Source organism: Homo sapiens, chromosome 20, assembly GCF_000001405.40.
Source record: "Homo sapiens chromosome 20, GRCh38.p14 Primary Assembly".
Taxonomy (NCBI): domain Eukaryota; kingdom Metazoa; phylum Chordata; class Mammalia; order Primates; family Hominidae; genus Homo; species Homo sapiens.
The window spans coordinates 3,285,320-3,302,440 of record NC_000020.11 but is presented as its reverse complement, the minus strand read 5'-3'; the positions used below and the strand labels follow the sequence as shown (position 1 = coordinate 3,302,440).

The following is a 17,121-nucleotide window of genomic DNA, read 5'->3' as shown; positions in this document are numbered from 1 at the left end:
GCCTGCAGTCAACAATAAGGTGTTCAGATCTCACAATAGCTAGAAGAGAAGATTCTGAATGATAAATGTTTGAGTTGATGGATTTCTCATTCATTACCCTGATGTAATCATTACATAATGTATACATGTATTGAAACAATATATTATACCCCATAAATATGTGCATATTATGTATTAATTAAAAATAAAAAAATTTTTTTATGGCTAGGCACAGTGGCTCATGCCTGTAATCCCAGCACCTTGGGAGACTGGAGCAGGTGGATCACCTGAGGTCAGGAGTTCAAGACCAGCCTGGCCAATATGGTGAAACCCCACCTCTACTATACAAAAATTAACTGGGCGTGGTGGTGCATGCCTGTAATCCCAGCTACTTGGGAGACTGAGGCAGGAGAATTGCATTAACCCAGGAGGTGGAGGTTGCAGTGAGCCAAGATCCCACCACTGCACTCCACCCTGGGCTGCAGAGTGAGAATGTCTCAAAATATATATACATATATATATATAATTTTTTAAAAGTATTTCAAAAGGCAAATTTTTAAAATTGGGAAAAACATTTTTGGTGATTTAGACAAATGAGTTAATATTTTTTTTCTGCGAAGAGTTGTATCTTTATTAACATGAAAACACTGAGTCCCAGTTCAGGGATGTTCAGAGGACATGAGGCTACTTAACAGATAGAAGAAGTTACATCATTAACAACCTCCTGCTATCATATGTAACAGTAACTTAGCATTTATTGTTAAATTACACTAATATAGTATTAAAGCATACTAATTTATACTAAGGAATAAATCCTGAGGAACTGTTGGCAGAGGAGAACTGGAATAGCTCATGTCAAGCTGTGTAAGTGGCCCAAGAGGGGAAGAGAGTGCAGTCACTGGAAATGTTTACTGATAGTGTATGATAACATGGCTGATGGTGATGATAAATTAAGTTTTAAAAACAGGATAAGGGGCTGGGCGTGGTGGCTCACGCCTGTAATCCTAGCACTTTGGGAGGCCAAGAAGGGCGGATCACCTGAGGTCAGGAGTTCGAGACCAGCCTGGCCAGCATGGTGAAATGCCGTCTCTACTAAAAATACAGAAATTAGCTGGGCATGGTGCTGTGCACCTGTAGTCCCAGGTACTCAGGAGACTGAGGCAGGAAAATCGCTTGAACCTGGGAGGCGGAGGTTTCAGTGAGCTGAGATTGCGCCATTGCACTCCAGCCTAGGTACCAAGGGTGAAACTCCATCTCAAAAAAAGAAAAAAAAAAAAAAAAAAGCCAAGCATGATGGTGTATACCTGAAGTCGCAACTATTTGGGAGGCTTAGGTGGGAGGATCACTTGAGCCCAGAAGTTCAAGGTTGCAATGAGCTGTGATTGTACCACTGCACTCCAGCCTGGGAGACAGAGCAAGACCCTGTCTCTGAAAAAAAAAAAAGGAAAACAAAAGTACTAAATGTTAGCTGTAGTTGGGTTTAGGTGATGGGACTTTCTATTAATTTTTTTAAAACTTTCTTCTCTGTTGTATTTTTATAATTTTTTTTCAAAATGAGTTGCATTTCTATGCCCTACCAATGAACAATCTGATAAAGATATTAAGAAAACAATTCCAGGGCTGGATGCAGTGGCTCAAGCCTGGAATGCCAGCACTTTGGGAGGCCAAGGCAGGTGGATCACTTGAGTCCAGGACTTTGAGATAACATGGTGAAACTCCGTCTCTACAAAAAATTATTATTATTATTATTATTATTATTATTATTATTATTATTATTATTATTTAGATGGAGTCTCGCTCTGTCACCCAGGCTGGAGTGCACCCAGCCTCAAAAATTTTTTAAATTAGTGAGGCATGGTGGCAGGTGCCTATAGTCCCAAGCTACTTGAGAGGTGAAGTGGGAGGATCTCCTGAGCCCAGGAGACAGAGGTTGCAGTGAGCTGTGATCATGCCACACTGTGCTCTAGCCTGAGCAACAGAGTGAGACCCTGTCTCAGAAAAATAAAACAATTCAATTTACATTAGCATCAAAAAGAGTAAAGTACTAGGGAATAAATTTAACCAAGAAAGTGAGAGACTTGTACACTGAAAACTGAAAAATATTGCAGAAAAATTAAAGACAACCTAAATGAAGGAAAAACATCCATGTTCGTGACTCAGAAGACTTACTATTAAGACAATACTGCCCAACATGATCTGTAGGTTCAGTGCAGTCCGTATCAAAATCCCAATGGCATTTTTTGCAGATAGGAAAACGCTGCCGGGCGCAGTGGCTCACACTTAACAATTCCAGCACTTTGAGAGGCTGAAGCGGGCAGATCACTTGAGGTCAGGAGTTTGAGACCAACCTGGCCAGCATGGTGAAACCCTGTTTCTACTAATAATACAAAAATTAGGCAAGTGTGGTGGCATGTATCTATAATCCCAGCTACTCGGAAGGCTGAGGCACAAGAATCACTTTAACCTGGGAGGCAGAGGTTGCAGTGAGCCGAGATTGTGCTACTGCATTCCAGCCTGGGTGAGAGAGTGAAAACTGTGTCTCAAAAAAGAAATAGGAAAACCCATCCTAAAGTTCATGTAGAATTTATAGACTCTCAAGGGACCCTTATTGTTTAAAACAATCTTGCAAAAGAAAATAAAGTTGTAACACATGCATTTTCTTATTTCAAAACTCACTATGAAGCTACAGTGACCTAACAGTTTGCTGCTGGCAAAAGGTCAGGCATATGGACCAGTGGACTAGACCCATGGAGAGCCCAGAAATAAACTTTTGTATCAAATCATTTTTGACAAGGATGCCAGAACCATTCAATGTCAAAAGGACAGTCTTTTTAACTAATGGTGCTGAGAGGCCGGGTGCGGTGGCTCACGCCTGTAATCGCAGCACTTTGGGAGGCCAAGGAGGGCAGATCACTTGAGGCTGGCAGTTCGAGACCAGCCTGGCCAACATGGCAAAACCCCATCTCTACTAAAAATACAAAAATTAGCTGGGTGTGGTGGGTGGATGCCTGTAATCCCAGCTAGTCGGGAGGCTGAAGCATGAGAATTGCTTGAACCCAGGAGGCGGAGGCCAGTCAGCCAAGATGGCACCACTGCACTCCATCCTGGGCACAGGTCCCCTGAGTGGGACCCTGTCTCAAAAACAACAAACAAAAAAGGTGCTGGGAAAACTAGATATCCGTGTGCAAAAGAATGAAGTTTGACCCTTACTTTATACCCTGTACAATAAATTAACTGAAAGTGGATCAAAAACATAAACATTAAGAGCTAAAACAATATGCAATCCCAGCACTTTGGGAGGCCAAGGCGGGCGGATTATGAGGTCGGGAGTTCGAGACCAGCCTGGCCAACATAGTGAAACCCCGTCTCTACTGAAAATATAAGCATTAGCCGGGCATGGTGGCACGGACCTGTAGTCCCAGCTACTCGGGAGGCTGAAGCAGGAGAATCGCTTGAACCCAGGAGGCGGGGGTTGCAGCGAGCGGAGATCATGCTTTTGCACTCCAGCCTGGACGACAGAGTGAGACTCCATCTCAAAAAAAAAAAAAAAAAAAGAGCTAAAACAATAAAACTCTTTGAAGAAAATACAGGAGAAAATCTTTATGATACTGGATTTGGCAATGATTTCTTGAATGTGATACCAAAAGCACGGACAGCAAATGAAAAAATATGTAAATTGGACTCCATCAACATTTAAAACTTCTGTGTGTTAAAGGACATTATCCAGAGAGTGAAAAGACAGTCCTCAGAATGGAATATTCACAAATCATATATCTGATAAGGAATTAATATCCTAGAGTGAATTTTGAGATGACATTTTCAGTATAGGGGAAAAAAATCCAGATTAGGGGTGGTGGCTCACCCCTGTAATCCCAACACTTGGGGAGGCCAAGGTGGGAGGATCACTTGAGACCAGGAGTTTGAGACCAGCCTGGGCAACAGAGAGAGCCCCTGTCTCTACAGAAAGTTTAAAAAAATTAGCCAGGCATAGTGGCATGTGTCTGTAGTCTCAGCTACTTGAAGGGCTGAGGTAGAAGGATCACTTGATGGCTGCAGTGAGCCATCACACTCTAGCCTGGGTGACAGAGCAAGACCCTGTCTCAAAAAAAAAATCCTTTTATTTCCTATATCTCCTATAAGTAAAGCACATCTATACTGAACCACAGTGAACTACGTAATGTGACAATAATTGTACTGAAATTGATCCTGTGTGTTCTGGCAGTAGTTGTGAGTGCTGTAATTGTGCAGATGCTCTTCTTGCTGATGCTCCCTCCTTTTCGCTTTAGGATTCCACCAGTACTGTTGCTGCTCTTCTCATAGACTTCAAAAGCTCATTGCTTCCTCACCTCCCAGTTCATTTCCATGGATCAAGCAATTTTCTGATGATTGCCCTTTTCCCCAAATCGAAGATATACCAAGCATTTTACTCAGAGGTAATATCAGTCATTATTCAGCAAAACTACTACTACTTTTTTTTCCCCCTAGCAATTTAAATGGTAAGGCATCATTTTGGGGCTAACAGTGAAGTGATGAGAGGGAGAGTTAGGAGGGCTGGATGGTGTGGGGTGACTGCTTCTAATCCCTTCAAGTTCTGGAGTGGTGCTGTTGGCAATGAGAGGTGAGAGCTGGAAGAAACTGAACAAGAGGGTTTTTAGCCTTTAAGAAAAATCTGCTTTGTCCTTTAAATCCTAATTAGAGTTATCTCTTATTTAGCTACTTTATTGAATTGTTGGGCCCTACCTACTGAATTAGTGTTCTCTTTGCCACCCTATAGTCTCCTTCCCCATGGGCCAGTCCCTGCCCTTGCGAATGGTACCACCTGGCAGGCTGCACTTTATAGATACTCAGCACAGATGGCATAGATGAGGGAGTTTACGAGAATGAAACGACCCACTTAGAGACCAAGCAATAGCCAAAGCCAAACTGATGGCCAGCCTCATGACTAGTGGGAATTCTTGGAAAGGTGTGATTACAGCAGCTTGTGAGGGGACAGTGTTCCTCCCTCAGGTCAGATTCGCAGACCATAGAGGATGCAAGAGTTGACCTTGGCTATAGTATAGCTTCTCAGCCCAGTCTGTGTCTTCCACCTTTGCTGGACCTTTTTACCTCCTTGTGCTTGTCCTTTCAATCTGGGAAAATAAAGACGGCTCTTTAGGTTCTCTTCAGCCATCCCTCTGCTTCTTGGCAGGAGTTGCTTGAACCACTCCTTTCTGTCTCCCTAGAGGAGAACATGCGTCTGCTGCTAGGACAGTGTTACCCGACCCCTTTCTCCTTACTTCCTGACCTCTCAAGGAGCAGAATCCCTGGGGGAGTAACCCAGAAAGACATTCTGGTTTTTAAAAATACAGAACAAAATTGCTTCAGGCCTCTATTTTTGAAGCAAACTTGTTTGTTATAGTCATTTTCTCTGCAGTGACAGTCTAGATTTTCAACAACCATCAAATCCCCATGTGGCTTCCATATCCTGTTGTTGGGTTTAAAGTGTTCTTTGCTCAAATTCTGTTTTGTTTAGGTCTTCTCCCTCTGGAAACAGCAGGATAACTCAGGGATCTCTTTAAAAGTGATCCAGGAAGATGGATTATCTGTGGAACAAAAGAGATTGTAAGTGGCTGCTTCAGTATTTGTGCTTGCTTCCCTAGGCTTTGTGGGTGTGCTCTCTCTGCAGGATGCCTCGCATTATGTAACACAGGGGTCTTGGCTTCTGAAAGGGTCAACACAGACATTTCAATGCTGCCAACTTGCAGGTAGCCGGTGCCCTTGGGGGAATAGAAGGCAAGAGAGGGCCATGTGCAGTGCCTCACACTTGTAATCCCAACACTTTGGGAGGCTGAGGCAGGAGGATGAATTGAGCACAAGAATTAGAGACTAGCCTGCCTGGGCAACATAGTGAGACCCCGTCCCTACAAAAAATAAAAAATTAGCTGGGTATGGTGGCACATGCCTGTAGTCTCAGCTAGTCAGGAGGCCGGGGTGGAAGGGTTACTTGAGCCCAGGAATTCAAGGTTGCAGTGAGCCGTGACCATGCCATTGCACTTCAGCCTGAGTGATGAAACAAGACCCTTTCTCAAAAAAAAAAACGAAAAATGTCCCCACTGCCAGGAGCCAGTGTGGCTGTGAGGGGCCACGTCTCACAGCCCTGACCCGGGCCAAGCATGGTGTTGGGCGCCGGGCCCGTCTCACCTGTCTTGGGGGGCGCCCAGTGTCTTACTCTGTCACCCCGGGTAGAGTGCAGTGGTGCGGTCCTGGCTCACTGCAGCCTTGACCTCCTAGGCTCAGGTTATCCTCCCGCTTAGCAGGTGGGACTACAGAGGTTGCAGAACTTGAAGCTAATTTACCTTGTACATGTAAAGTGCATTTTCCTGATCCAAACAAGCTTCACTGTTCTCAGCTAACAGTAACTCCAGATGAGGGTTACTACCAGGGTGGAAAATTTCAGCTTGAAACCGAAGTTCCCGATGTGTACAACATGGTGCCTCCCAAAGTGAAATGCCTGACCAAGATCTGGCACCCCAACATCACAGAGACAGGGGAAATATGTCTGAGTTTACTGAGAGAACATTCAATTGACGGCACTGGCTGGGCTCCCATGAGAACATTAAAGGATGTCGTTTGGGGATTAAACTCTTTGTTTACTGATTTTTGAATTTTGATGATCCACTGAATATTGAAGCTGCAGAACATCATTTGCAGGACAAGGAGGACTTCCAGAATAAAGTGGACAACTACATCACGCGTTATGCCAGATAATAAAAGGGGACGGTTGCAGGCCCATGGACTGTGTTACAGTTTGTCTCTAATGTGAAACAGCAGGAGGTAGCCCCACCTCCCATCCTCACGCTCCCTCTCAGTCCCCTGGATTGCCCCAGTCCTGTGACCATGTTGCCCTGAAGAAGACCATCTTCGTGACTGCTCATTGTAGATGGGGAATTCAACATAAATACAGCAAGAAAATGTGTTTGGGCTTCTTTAAAAAAAAAAAAAAAGGTCAGGCGCAGTGGTTCACGCCTGTAATCCCAGCACTTTGGGAGGCCGAGGTGGTGGATCACCTGAGGTCAGGAGTTCAAGACCAGCCTGGCCAACAAGGTGAAACCTCATCTCTTCTAAAAATACAAAAACTATCCGGGCATGGTGATATGCGCCTGTAATCCCAGCTACTGGGGAGGCTGGAGGCTGAGGCTGGAGAATCTCTGGAACCTGGGAGGCAGAGGTTGCAATGAGCCGAGATCGTGCCACTGCATTCCAGCCTGGGTGACAGAGCCAGACTCTGTCTCAAAAAAAGAAAAAAAAAGTGGGAGCTGGGTGCGGTGGCTCATGCCTGTAATCCCAGCACTTTGGGAGGCCGAGGTGGGCGGATCATGAGGTCAGGAGATCGGGACCATCCTGGCTAACACAGTGAAACCCCGTCTCTACTAAAAATACAAACACAAAATTAGTTGGGCGTGGTGGCAGGCACCTGTAGTCCCAGCTACTTGGGAGGCTGAGGCAGGAGAATGGCGTGAACCCGGGAGGCGGAGCTTGCAGTGAGCCGAGATCGCACCACTGCACTCCAGCCTGGGCAACAGAGCAAGACTCCATCTCAAAAAAAAAAGGAGAGGTGAAATCACCGAGAATCAGAAACTCATGGTATTATCAAGGGATTTCAGGCCAACCTTTCTATGTGGACTTACCCATCATCATGCACTAACACCTCATTTTGTTTAAGTCTGAGATGTGTGTTTTGGAAGAGTTGACTCTGTCATTGGACTCTGGCTTGAAAGCATCAGGCCCAGTTGTGTAAAGTGTATATGCTGAAGGAAGATGGACTTCTAATCTGTGAGCTTTTGTTATTCCAGGCACTCCAGTGCACAGAAGCTCTTCAGTGCCCTGAGCCAGCCTGCTGGGGAGAAACGGAGTTCCCTAAAGTTACTCTCAGCCAAACTCCCAGAGCTGGACTGGTAAGCTCTGGTTCTGTTTATAGATGTTTAATATTCTGGCTTTTGAAATGTCGGAAACCTCAGTGTTGGTCCTTTTAAGCTCCTTTTTCTTGTAGTTTCTTAGAGATCACTGTAAAATGTCGCAGTAACACACTGTACACAATTTTATTCTCTAGAGAGAATCTCTCCAAGGTTTATTTTTCAGCAATTAAGTAAAAACTTTTTCATGTGAGTAGGCACCTTCAGGACAGGCTAGGATGGTAACATAATAGCATTGTCTTTGTGTTTTTAGGTTTCTCCAGCATTTCGCCATCAGCAGCATTAGCCAGGAGCCTGTGATGCGGACCCATCTTCCTGTGCTGCTGCAGCAAGCTGAAATCAACACTACTCACAGAATAGAAAGTGACAAGGTAGAGGAGCTCACCAGATATGCTGGGAATTCACAGGAAGATGATCTTGAGAGCCTGCCCCTGAATCTTTTGTGTCAGTTAACAAAAAGAACTTAGATGGAGTCCCTGTTACAGGACTCTCCACTTCCTTGGATCCTGAAATGTAATGATAACATGTAACCTGCTGTATACAATGACTGTGTCAGGTGTCTACATTAACCCCAGCCAAGCCTCATGACAGTGACAAAACCCTAGCATCTTGCCGTGCCCTTCCCTGGCCTCTCAAGAACATTTAAACTCCTACTCAGTGCTTTCATGCCATCAGCTCTTCCTGATTGTGACAGGAACTTACCTGGCAGTGGTTGACACATTGCACTTAATACAGGGAAGGGCACCCATGTTATTCAGGCCTTGCCGGAATCAGCAGGGTAAAGTGATACTTTATAAACACTATCTTCCCCAGAGTGGATTTTTTTTTTTTTTTTTTTTTTTTGTCACCCAGGCTGGAGTGCACTGGCGTGATCTCGGCTCACTGCAACCTCCGCCCCCTGGGCTCAAGTGATTGTCCCGCCTCAGCCTCCTGAGTAGCTGGGATTACAGGCATGCACCACCACGCCTGGCTAATTTTTGTATTTTTAGTAGAGACAGGGTTTCACCATGTTGACTAGGCTGGTCTCGAACTCTTGACCTCAGGTGATCCGCCCACCCCGGCCTCCCAAAGTGCTGGGATTACAGGTGTGAGCCACTGTGCCCGGCCCCCAGAGTGGATTTTAATCTGCTCTTGCCTCACACTTCGTCTTCTTGACCCCCTCCCACCATTCCTTCAGAACCATAAGTCTCTTTTTTTTTTTTTTTTTTTTTTTTTTTGAGACGGAGTCTCCCTCTGTTGCCCAGGCTAGAGTGCAGTGGTGTGATCTTGGCTCACTGCAACATCCACCTCCCAGGTTCAAGGGATTCTCCTGCCTCAGCATCCCGAGTAGCTGGGATTACAGGCATGCGCCCCCACGCCCGGCTAATTTTTTGTATTTTTAGTAGAGACGGGGTTTCACCGTGTTAGCCAGGATGGTCTTTTTTTTTTTTGAGTCTTGCTCTGTCGCCTAGGCTGAAGTGCAATGGCACAATCTTGGCTCACTGCAACCTCCGCCTCCTGGATTTAAGCAATTCTCCTGCATCAGCTTCTCAAGTAGCTGGAATTTCAGGTACCTGCCACCACGCCCTGTTAATTTTTTGTATTTTTAATAGAGATGTGGTTTCACCATGTTGGCCAGGATGGTCTCAAGCTCCTGACCTGGTTCACACTCCTGACCTCAGGTTATCCACCTGCCTCAGCCTCCCAAAGTGCTGGGATTACAGGCGTGAGCCACCATACCTGGCTTTTTTTTTTTTTCTTTTTTGAAATGGAGTCTCGCTCTGTTGCCCAGGCTAGGGTGCAGGGGCCCGATCTCGGCTCACTGCAACCTCTGCCTCCCAGGTTCAAGTGATTCTCCAGCCTCAGCCTCCTGAGTAGCTGGGATTACAGGCATGTGCCACCAAGCCCAGCTAATTTTTGTATTTTTAGTAAAGGCAGAGTTTCACCATGTTGCCAGGCTGGTCTTGATCTCCTGACTTCGAGTGATCCTCCCGCCTCGGCCTCCCAAAGTGCTGGGTTTACAGACATGAGCCACCGCGCCCAGCCCAGAACCATAAGTCTTAATAGGCTCAAAGAGGATATTTATTTCCATGCAAGTCTAGAAGATACTCAGCTGCAAAAGGAAATAAAAGCACTAAGCAATGAGAAACGTCATTTTTTCCCTTAGGCAAGAGTGTAAAGCATCTGTTTGTAAAGCATACCTACTTGTTGTATTTTATTAAAAGGTGCTCGCCCAGGCGGCATGGCTCATGCCTGTAATCCCAGCACTTTGGGAGGTCGAGGTAGGTGGATCACCTGAGGTCAGGAGTTCGAGACCAGCCTGACCAACAAGGTGAAACCGCGCCTCTACTAAAAATACAAAAATTAGCCAGGCATTGGTGGCAGGTGCCTGTAGTCCCAGCTACTCGGGAGGCTGAGACAGGAGAATTGCGTGAACCCGGGAGGCGGAGGTTGTAGTAAGCCAAGATCGCACCACTGTACTCCAGCCTGGGCAATGGAGCGAGACTCCATCTCAAAAAAAAAAAAAAGGTGCTCTTGGATTGGCCTTAAAGTAAAAACATGTCTGGCTGTATGTACATGTGCTGCGATTTGAGGGGCTGAGACCTGGGCACTGAGAAATAGGAACGAAGACAGGGAAGGCTGGATAGGAGGAGGATAAACATGGAGTACTGCCTGAGGGGTAGAAAGGGGTACGGTGTAGAGGCCCTGGTCAGAGGGAACAAGAGACAGCTTCTGGGTCCTACAAAAGAAGAGGGATTTACGGCCGTCTTCTCTGTGCTGATGTGGGCAGCTCAAGTGATGAGTGCTTCCAGGCTTAGCTTTAGCATAAGTTATTTGTGACTGGGCCTGTCCCAGTGAGTCTTGTGTATTGTGAAATAAAACTTAACAGGCTGGGCTGGTGGCTCACGCCTGTAATCCCAGCACTTTGGGAAGCTGAGGCAGGTGGATCACGAGGTCAAGAGATTGAGACCATCCTGGCCAACATGGTGAAGCCCCGTCTCTACTAAAAATACAAAAAATTAGCCAGGCATGGTGGTGGGCACCTGTAGTCCCAGCTACTCGGGAGGCTGAGGCAGGAGAATCACTTGAACCTGGGAGGTGGAGGTTGCAGTGAGCCGAGATTGCACCACTGCACTCCAGCCTGGCGACGGAGCGAGACTCCGTCTCAAAAAAAAAAAAAAAAACAAAAAAACTTACAGAGGCACTTGCCATGCCAAGTCATTTACATAGACCTCCCTCGGTGATTGCAGGGTTCCTGTCCTCACCTGCCTGATGCCTCCTTTTTCAGTGAATTTATTAAGTTGCTTTGGAATATCTACCTGAAAGGGGACCTATTTTCCTGTGGGTGTATAATAAGGTTAGGACAGTTCAGCCTGGCCCCTCTTCTCTTCCAGAATCACAAGTGCTTCACACGCACAGTGAGTAAGACTTAGCCCTGGTCGGCCAGGTGCGGTGGCTCACGCCTGTAATTCCAGCACTTTGGGAGGCCAAGGCGGGTGGATCACCCAAGGTCAGGAGTTCGAGACCAGCCTGGCCAACATGGTGAAACCCCGTGTCTACTAAAAATGAAAAAATTAGCTGGGTATGGTGGCATGTGCCTGTAATCCCAGCTACTTGGGAGGCTGAGGCAGGAGAATCTCTTGAACCCAGGAGGCGGAGGTTGTAGTGAGCTGAGATCACACCACAGCACTTCAGCCTGGGCGACAGAGTGAGACTCCATCTCAAAAAAAAAAAAAAAAAAAGACTTAGCCCTGACCGTGTGACTTGGAGGGCACAGGCAACCAGGCAGAAGCATCCCCAGCACCACTCTCCTGTCTTCTGCCCTAGTTTACTACACCAGTGTAGCCTGGGGCATTTTTGTCCCAGACCTCCTTTCTGCCCAGTGTTTTCCTAAGAAATAGTTACTACTGGGAAAAAAAGTCATAATATCCCTGAATGTCTGCTTTACAGAAGAGATCTGTGGTCTCAAGCAGGTAGGTCCTTTAATGCATTGTATTTTAACTAATCTATTCACAATATGCTCTAATTAGTGTTACTACTCTAGTAAAAATTAAACTAGTAACACTACATTTTATATGGTATTTGCTACATGGCAAGCACTGTTCTAAACACTTTGCTTATGTTAACCCAGTTAATCCTCACACCCACTTTACAATATAGGTTCTGTCATTGGCCTAAGGTCACAGAGTTAGTGAGAGGTCATACTGAGGTTCACACCCACAATGCTTGGCACCAGAAGTCAGTTCTCTTAACCTCTTCTTACATAATGCAATGCAGTTGAATTGCAAACCCATGACTTTTTCTTCATGTAGGTAATTATCAGCATTGTAACCGGCCTCCCAGGCTGTCACGCTAGCGAGCTCTGTGCTTTTCTGGTCACTCTGCATAAGGAATGTGGCAGGTTAGTATGGCTGATGCCTTTGCTTTGGGGAAAGGGATTCTAACTTGGGCCTGCCTAGGCACTGGAAAACCTTAGACATGTACTGGCCTTGGTGGGACTGGTATCAGCATGGTAGTCAGCCATTCATTTAATATGCTCTTCTGAGCACTTCCTGTATGGCAGGCACTGTTCTGAGTATGAGAGAATACATCGATGAACATACAGACACGAAAATCTCTGCACTTATGGAGCTTACATTCTAGTTTGGTAAGACAAACAGATAAGGAAAAGTATATTAACTAGTGAAAAGTTCTATGGAGAAAATAAAGCAGAGAAGGGGCCAGGTGCAGTGTCTCACACCTGTAATCCCAGCACTTTGGGAGGCAAAAGTGGGTAGATCGCCTGAGACCAGGAATTTGAGACCAGCCTTGACAACATGGCAAAACCTACAAAAATACAAAAATTAGCCGAACGTGGTGGCATGCACCTATAGTCCCAGCTACTCGGGAGGCTGAGGTGGGAGGATCACTTGAACCTAGGAGGGCGAGGCTGCGGTGAGCTGAGATTGCGCCACTGCATCCCAGCCTGGGCAACAGAGTGAGACCCTGATTAAAAAAACAAAACAAAAAAACAGAAAATAAAGCAGGGAAGGTTATAGGAAGTGCAGGGCTGGGAGTGGGGTTTCAGTTTTCTGTTTTGTTTTTAGAGATGGGGTCTCTCTCTGTCACCCAAACTCGCGTACAGTGGCACGATCATAGTTCACCTGTAACCTCAAACTCCTGGGTTCAAATTATCCTCCCACCTGACCCTCCCAAGTAGGCAGGACTACAGGTGTGCACCATCACACCTAACTAATTTTTTAAAATTATACTTTAAGTTTTAGAATACATGTGCACAACGTGCAGGTTTGTTACACATGTATACATATGCCATGTTGGTGTGCTGCACTAATTTTTAAAAAAGCTTTTAGAGGTGGGGTTTTGCTGTGTTGTCCAGGCTGGTCTCAAACTCCTGAGCTCAAGTGATCCTCCCACCTCATTCTACAAAGTAGCTGAGATACAGGCACACGCTACTGTGCACCCAGCTTAGATTCCAATTTTAAATTGGATGGTCTGGGAAAACTTGACTAAGGAGGTGATATTTGAGCAGAGACTTTAAGGAATAAACCATGTAGCTATCTAGGGGAGAGCATTGTAGCAGCAGGTCAAGCAAATGTAGAGGGCTGGGAGTGCATCTGGTCAGCAGGGAAATTCAGGGTCATGATGGTTATAAAACTTAGGCCTGGTGGATGTCATGATCCTCCCATGAGCACAAGGAGACTGCCTGAGTTCAGATGCAGCTGGAACAGGTTGGCCCAGGTGAAATCAGGAAAATCATTCATCCTTCACTTCCACCTGGCTGTCAGATTACCAAACAACCCTTGCAGATTGAACCAGGTGTTTAATATCCAGTCAGTCTACCCCAAGGTAAGGCATCCTGCAGGAGGCCGTAAAGAAATTTGGAAGCCTGAAATTGCATAGAGAGTCGGCAGTTTAGGATGGGATATTGTGGAGAATGGGGAGGCAAATTACAGAGCAATGCTTGGGAAATACAGGACCTCATTTATTGAGTACTAAATGTCTAACCAGTTCCTCGTGTCTAGTGTTTTTGTTCTATAAAGATTCTGAATTATTCACCCTGCCCATTTATTTTTATTTTTGAGATGGAGTTTCACTCTTGTTGCCCAGGCTGGAGTGCAGTGGTGCGATCTCAGCTCACTGCAACCTCTGCCTCCCGGGGTCAAGCGATTCTCCTGCCTCAGCCCCCCAAGTAGCTGGGATTACAGGCATGCGCCACCAAGCCCTACTGATTTTGTATTTTTAGTAGAGATGGAATTTCTCTATGTTGGTCAGGCTGGTCTTGAACCTCCCGACTTCAGGTGATCCGCCCGCCTCGGCCTCCCAAAGTGCTGGGATTACAGGCGTGAGCCACAATGCCCAGCCAACCCTGCCCATTTCTGATTCTTAGCAAGAGACTAACTGAAGCCATCTTTTGCATGGTCCTTCAGAAAGTGACTGCCTGGTCAGAAGGAGTCTTTCTTACCTCTGATGTCTGTTGGTCAAGTGCTTACCTGACCATTTTCCCTATGGCAAGGGGTTTCCTATCAAAAGCCCCAGTGACAGTGGTTTCAGGATACTGGGCTTCCAACCCATCCAGTGCCCTCTGCCTTTTTTCTGTGAGGCCAAGATGGCTTTCTCCTGAATGGATTCACTGGGCAGAATGGCTTTAGGACTCATGGTCACATTTGAATCCATGGCTGAACCTATGGAGCTAGGCCATCAGGTGGCCCCCATGCAGAGGTTACCTTTTACCTTTCCAGATGGATGGTGTATCGCCAAATCATGGACAGCTCTGAATGTTTTCATGCTGCACACTTCCAGAGATACCTTTCCAGTGCCCTAGAGGCCCAGCAGAACCGCTCTGCGCGCCAGTCAGCCTACATCCGCAAGAAGACCAGACTGCTGGTGGTGTTACAAGGGTGAGCATTGGAAGTCTCCTGGAAACAGTCGAATCAGGGTGATGACCTTGCCATTACTCTTATTTTATGTGTAACAAACCTGGAGCACAGAACAGACTCTACATGCATGAGCAGTGTCTGCGCTACAGAGAAGCCTTAAGCGAGCAATGACCCTATTGCCATCCTATGGCCTATAGGCTAGTATAGCTTGCACACAAGTTTTAAGTTTGGATTTAACATCATCATATCCCCACAAGGTGGGGAATTAGGGAACCTGGCAAGATTCATTGGGAATTTTTGCAGCAGTAGTGGTCCCTAAGTCTTCATTCATCATCTAAATAAGGGAGCTTCATCTGTTTCAGTCCTCCCTCTTGTGGAATTGCAGAGATGACCCTCATACTCTGCAGTCTCCAGCTTCACCATGCCCTGGATTGTGGCCCAGGAGAGTTTCCTGGGACCTTCAGTGAGGAGTGGGAATATTCATATTGGGTAAGAAGCTCCCCTTTCATGGCTGTGTGCAGAACTATGATTATAGGCTGACTAGCTCATGAAGTCTCTGTAAGCATGATTATTTTGAGTGTGCAACACGGGAGGGCAGGTTTGACAGAGCTTGTACCACTGCTCCAGGGGACCCTGGCTGAAAGGAGTTTCTTTTGACCTGTTCTAAGGCCTTTCAGGGAGGAGCCCCTCACAGACCCATCACCACTCCAGGCTCAGAGGGGAATGCGCAGTCAGGAAAACAGGAGCCATGCTTTTCACTAATGTTGTTATGGTTGGTGGTAATAAAGAAGCTTTTGGTAGTTCTTACAAAGTGCTTTTGTGCTATGTTAGTGTTTGCAATTGGCTAGTTGTTTCCAGTAAAGAATGGGTCCCAATCCAAAGCCCCTTTGGTGTCCTGGCTGTGATGATGGGAATTGGAGCAAAGCTGGGAGAGTGGTACTGAGGAAGGAGGCAGGTGGGACGGTGTACCCTAGCAGGCCATCTTTCCCTTTCGAGCCTTGTTCTCATACCTTGCCTCCAGCTTACCTTCTGTCAGCCCTTTTGTCCTGCTTGTGGGCAAGGTCCTAGAAACCAGAGGAAGAGTCTGGGCTTGAAACCACTTGTTTTCTTCTGGTTTTTCATTGTTTCTACTGGTCAAAGGAATGGGTTGGCCCACCTCCTTTACTGCCTGCCCCCACCAGTTGAGAGTCACCGAGGGTGTGGACCTGGAGGTGAATTCAGCAGCTTGACAATGTGCAGTTGAGGTCATTTCCATCTTCCATCACTTCGGAGAGCATCACTGATTTTTTGTCTCTGACTTTACAATTCTGCAAAAGTGTCAGCTTTTCTAGCTGCTTCTGGACTACAGTGACAGTGTGACCAGACCACTCTTATACTGTAAACCCAGCCTTTGTCCCATCACAGCCCCAGGATATGGGGACCTCTAGTCAATTTCCTGGAGGACTCCAGTCAGAATACTAGCTAAATGCTGTGGCTCTTCACTAAGACGCTGTTCTTACCAGCTGGGCCCATGTAGCACCCTCCTTTATAGCATGTCCATCATCTTGGGGCTGGGCCTTCATGCCCATTATTTAGGTTGTTGGTGATGGGAGATCCCAGATGCTTCTCATATTAAGAATTGTATTCCTTGAATATGGCTTTATTTTCTTTTTTTCTTTTTCTTTTTTTTTTTTGAAACGGAGTCTTGCTCTGTTGCCCAGGCTGGAGTGCAGTGGTGCAATCTCAGCTCACTGCAACCTCCACCTCCCGAGTTCAAGCAATACTCCCACTTCAGCCTCCCAAGTAGCTGGGATTGCAGGCACACGCCACCACACCCGAGTAATTTTTGTATTTTTTAGTAGAGATCAGATTTCACTATGTTGGCCAGACTGGTCTCGAACTCCTGACCTCAGGTGATCCGCCCACCTCAGCCTCCCAAAGTGCTGCAATTACAGGCATGAGCCACCGCTCCTGGCCCTTTTTTTTTTTTTTAATGAGACAGAGTCTCACTCTGTCGTCCAGGCTGGAGTGCAATGGTGCAATCTCGGCTCACTGCAACCTCCGCCTCCTGGGTTCAAGCAATTCTCGTGCCTCAGCCTCCCAAGTAGCTGGGATTACAGGTGCTCACCACCACGCCTGGCTAATTTTTGTATTTTTAGTAGAAATGGGGTTTCACCATCTTGGTTAGGCTGGTCTTGAACTCCTGACCTCAAGTGATCCGCCTGCCTTGGCCTCCCAGAGTGCTGGGATTACAGGTGTGAGCCACCGCGCCCAGTTCCTGGCCTTTGTTTTTAGAGATGGGTCTCCCTATGTTGCCCAGGCTGGTCTCGAACTCCTGAGCTTAACCAATCTTC

General features: G+C 46.4%; 1 protein-coding gene and 1 pseudogene across 5 annotated transcripts in view, besides 1 other annotated feature; both read left to right on the top strand.

Annotated features, from left to right (window-relative positions):
* Nucleotides 1-17,121, top strand: part of DNAAF9 (dynein axonemal assembly factor 9) — a 158,364-nt gene that overhangs the window by 105,229 nt on the left and 36,014 nt on the right. For 4 of the 5 annotated variants that reach the window (XM_005260684.5, NM_001009984.3, XM_011529208.4 and 1 more), the window contains 6 exons: nt 4,266-4,412; nt 5,492-5,580; nt 7,812-7,913; nt 8,185-8,302; nt 12,224-12,312; nt 14,651-14,809. In XM_005260684.5, coding sequence (XP_005260741.1) covers nt 4,266-4,412; nt 5,492-5,580; nt 7,812-7,913; nt 8,185-8,302; nt 12,224-12,312; nt 14,651-14,809 — 704 coding nt within the window. Of the gene's footprint in view, nt 1-4,265; nt 4,413-5,491; nt 5,581-7,811; nt 7,914-8,184; nt 8,303-12,223; nt 12,313-14,650; nt 14,810-17,121 lie in introns of those variants that run through there. The other variant, XM_047440081.1, reaches the window with a different exon arrangement.
* On the top strand, nt 6,068-6,945 carry LOC101618237 (ubiquitin conjugating enzyme E2 F (putative) pseudogene; annotated as a pseudogene).
* Nucleotides 6,156-6,656: an enhancer, noted in NCBI's record as "H3K4me1 hESC enhancer chr20:3276431-3276932 (GRCh37/hg19 assembly coordinates)". NCBI's record gives its function as "activates a minimal SCP1, AML or CMV promoter by ChIP-STARR-seq in naive H9 embryonic stem cells {active_cell/tissue: H9 hESC(naive)}" and the evidence as "EXISTENCE:reporter gene assay evidence [ECO:0000049][PMID:30033119]".